The 3577-nt window shown below is 39.8% G+C and overlaps 1 annotated feature.

The window, feature by feature from the left end:
* Positions 259 to 459: a silencer, noted in NCBI's record as "peak4378 fragment used in MPRA reporter construct". NCBI's record gives its function as "represses an SCP1 promoter by STARR-seq MPRAs in K562 erythroleukemia cells {active_cell/tissue: K562}" and the evidence as "EXISTENCE:reporter gene assay evidence [ECO:0000049][PMID:32103011]".

Consider the following 3577-nt stretch of genomic DNA (forward strand, 5'->3'; position numbering starts at 1 on the left):
ACAATTTTATCTCTATCCTCTATTTAACCTCTCTCACATTGTAGCTAGTGCAGACCTGTTTTTTTTCCTAAGCTATAGTAAAGTTGTTTGTACTTTCACTTTGCCACAGAATTTACACTTGCACTGTTATTACCAACTACTCTAAAAATAGAATTGAGAACCTGCTATGAGTCAGAGGTTTTAGGTCATTTCCCATCCTCTAACGGTGTCCTGTTTTAGCCTAGGAATGGGAAAATGGAATAGTGGATATTATCAGCTTCTAATCTCTAACTTAGATATTCTCACCTCTCAAAACACACACACACACACACTTACAATTGGTCCCATTTCTCCATGGTTGGGTCCAAGGAAGTAACATTAGAGAAATTCCTCATGACCACACGGGAGGCATATGTGGGATCTGTCATTGGCCTGGTGGGTGATTAGAGCTGTTTCTTTCTCTCACATACACTTTTATGGCTTTCACAGATGTCCCATCCCCTGAACGTTCAACAGATAGCCTCTTGGTAAGAAAGCTGTTTTTGTTTTTTCGGGGTAAACGGATTACAATCTCTTTCTATAAATATTCTTTCTAATACAGTCAGCTTGCACAGCAAACTCATAGAGCTCTCCCCTACTCCCAAACAACCTCCCCTCACCTCTTAATTCTTACTAACTTTTGCTGAGGTGATGGGATAAGGGTACTAGCGCTGGTTTGTAGCATGTATTTGCAAGTCCTGTATCAGTTCATTCCTTAGGCAACACTGGGCATTTGTTCACTGCCAGGAAGTATTCTGACCACTGAAAATGAACAAAAGAAAAAAATCTGCCATCATTGGGCTTAAAAACTTTTTTAAAAGACTCACATATATAATGATGTACATGATGCTAATTGCTAAGGAAGAAAAATAAGTAGAAAAGGCAATATGAAGTATGTATGTGTTGGTAGATGGAGTTGAACTTTTAAACAGCATTTCCAGAGCAAGTCTCCCTGAGAGAGTGAATTTGACTGGAGATCTAAAGAGGAGATAGGGGATAATATTTCCAGAAAAAGTGATCAACCTGTTCAAAGGGCCACGAAGCAAGAGCACACCTAGATGTCTAAGAAGCATGCAGAATCCACAGCCAAGAGAGTAGAATGAAATGGGTTAAGGCGGCAAAGAGAGGTAAAGTGGGGAGGACCAAGAAGTGCCATGTGCCACTCATAGGACTTGTGGGTTCTAAGCACTCTTGGATTTTTACCCTAAGGAGATAAGAGGCCACCGGAGGGTTTTGAGCAAGGGATGGGAATAAACTTGTTTGTTATGCCTTATTTTGGTCACTATGATTGCTGTGCTAAAACTACTGTGAAAAGGGCAAGGGCAGGAATATGGAAATCAGTTACTAGATTCTTGCAATTACCTGGCAAGAGGTAATGTGACTTGTACCAGGATGGTGGCAATGCAGTTGTTGAGAAGTCAAGTTTGGTATGTATCTAGAAAGTAAAGTCAATCTTATTCACTGGAAACTAGATGTGGGTGAGAAAGAGAAGAGTCAAGGAAACCAAGTTTTGTGGCTTTAGCAAATAGAATAAGGGGGCAAAATCTCAGGAGCTGAGATGTTAAGATTACGGGAGCAGGCTTAAGAGTAGGAGGGGTGGGATCATATGAATTTTTAGATGTGGATTATGGTCGTATCTACAGGTGTCAGGTAAGATGTTAAATACATGAACCTGGAAGTCAGTAGATAAGTCATCACCTCAATTTTTTTCCACCAAATGTTTGATTTCCAACATATGGATTGCAACAAAAATAGAGAGCAGTCATTGTACATATTCTAATCTAATGCCTTGTACCATGTACATTGTCTCATTTGATTGAAAACTAAAAGAATTCCACGGCTATTATTTCCCCAATGTAACAAGTTAGGAGAAGGAGACTAAATTTTATAGTTATTTTGTCATTTTAGATAATAGATAAAATCACTTACTGTATGTTTCTGAGAACATTAATGGTTAAAAATCAAGGTTCTAGTTAGAGCAACTCATGCCATTTTGAAGATCAAAAAGTCTTTTAAAGAACACAACTTATGTTCTAGCTTTTCTCTTAAATGAGATATCTTTTCTTTGTCTGGGCCCCAAGTGCCTCTACATTTCTAAGATGTATGATATACATTTGTCTGTGTTTCCAGATTTCCCAGACTTCATGACACCCTGTTCACACAAATACAAAAGCTCAAAGTCAGACAACTCTTATCTTGATTCCTCAAAATCATCTACAAAGAACCTCTTCAGAGGAGGGTGTTTTGGCTTCTCCAGAGTGCTTAGGAGCTTCTAGATTTTGGAAGACGCTCTGACCCACTCATTCATAGAACAACTTTCATGGGAAGGGCAGAGGAGCACAGAGGCCAAGACACACCCTACCCTCTGGAGAAGTGGACACAGGTTTGAGGTCTGAGGACAAGTAGCATGACCACATCAGAATTTACAAACACAGCGATGTGCCAGCCCCATCAATCATTTTAGACTTAATTTATTTAACAAGTACTTATTGAATGCCTTCCAGGAAATAAGACTTGTGCTAAGCTAGCAGTTTTTGAAATGGTCCAGGGACCCCAGGAGTGTCTAAGATGCTTTCAGGGGGTTCATGAGATTAAGACTATTCCATGGTAATATTAAGAAGTCATTTTGGCACACACCTGTAATCCCAGCACTTTGGGAAGCCGAGGCAGGCGGATCACGAGGTCAGGAGATCCAGGCCATCCTGGCCAACATGGTGAAACCCCGTCTCTACTAAAAATACAAAACAAAATTAGCCGGGCGTGGTGGCGGGCGCCTGTAGTCCCAGCTACTCGGGAGGCTGAGGCAGGAGAATGGCGTGAACCCGGGAGGCGGAGCTTGCGGTGAGCCGAGATCGTGCCACTGCACTCCAGCCTGGGCGACAGAGTGAAACTCCGTCACAACAACAACAACAACAACAACAACAACAACAACAACAAAAGAAGTCATTTGCCCTTTTTGCTAAGAAATTTCACTTTCATATGAACCATGACACTGATTTAACAACTTCTCCCAAATGACACGGATCTTTTAATTATTTTTTTTCCTTGGGAGTTATATTTTTAAATTTATTTTGTATACTATAAGACATATATTCAATAAAATCTTCCCTACTTTAAATTGTATATTAATAATTAATAAGCTTTGGATTCCAAAAAACAACCTTCAAAGTATAATAGATTATATATATACCACGTGCTTCCTGATGTTAAGTGAAGGAAATGCTTATTCTGCAGCTGGGCTTTGTGGGGCTGGCTTGGACCAAAGTTTTCGTGTCTCCCTCTTTCCAGGAACCAGGATGAAGGAGCGGCTACTATATTGAGCAAAGTACTGTCCTAGTTGAGGGCAGAAGCTGGAAGGGGAGAAGGATGAGGAAAGGATCCTAACTATACAGTGCACTTAAAGTTCCAATTTGAATGTGGTTTATGATGTGTCTGTTTACATTCAGTTGAGAGAATAAAATCCAATTCATATTTATCTCTTGGTCTAAAATGCAAATGAATAAGTTAAAAAGCAATTATATTTCAGTCACACATATTCCATTTATACTGAATGAGTCAG

This window comes from Homo sapiens, chromosome 21 (genome assembly GCF_000001405.40).
Source record: "Homo sapiens chromosome 21, GRCh38.p14 Primary Assembly".
In the NCBI taxonomy this organism is placed as follows: domain Eukaryota; kingdom Metazoa; phylum Chordata; class Mammalia; order Primates; family Hominidae; genus Homo; species Homo sapiens.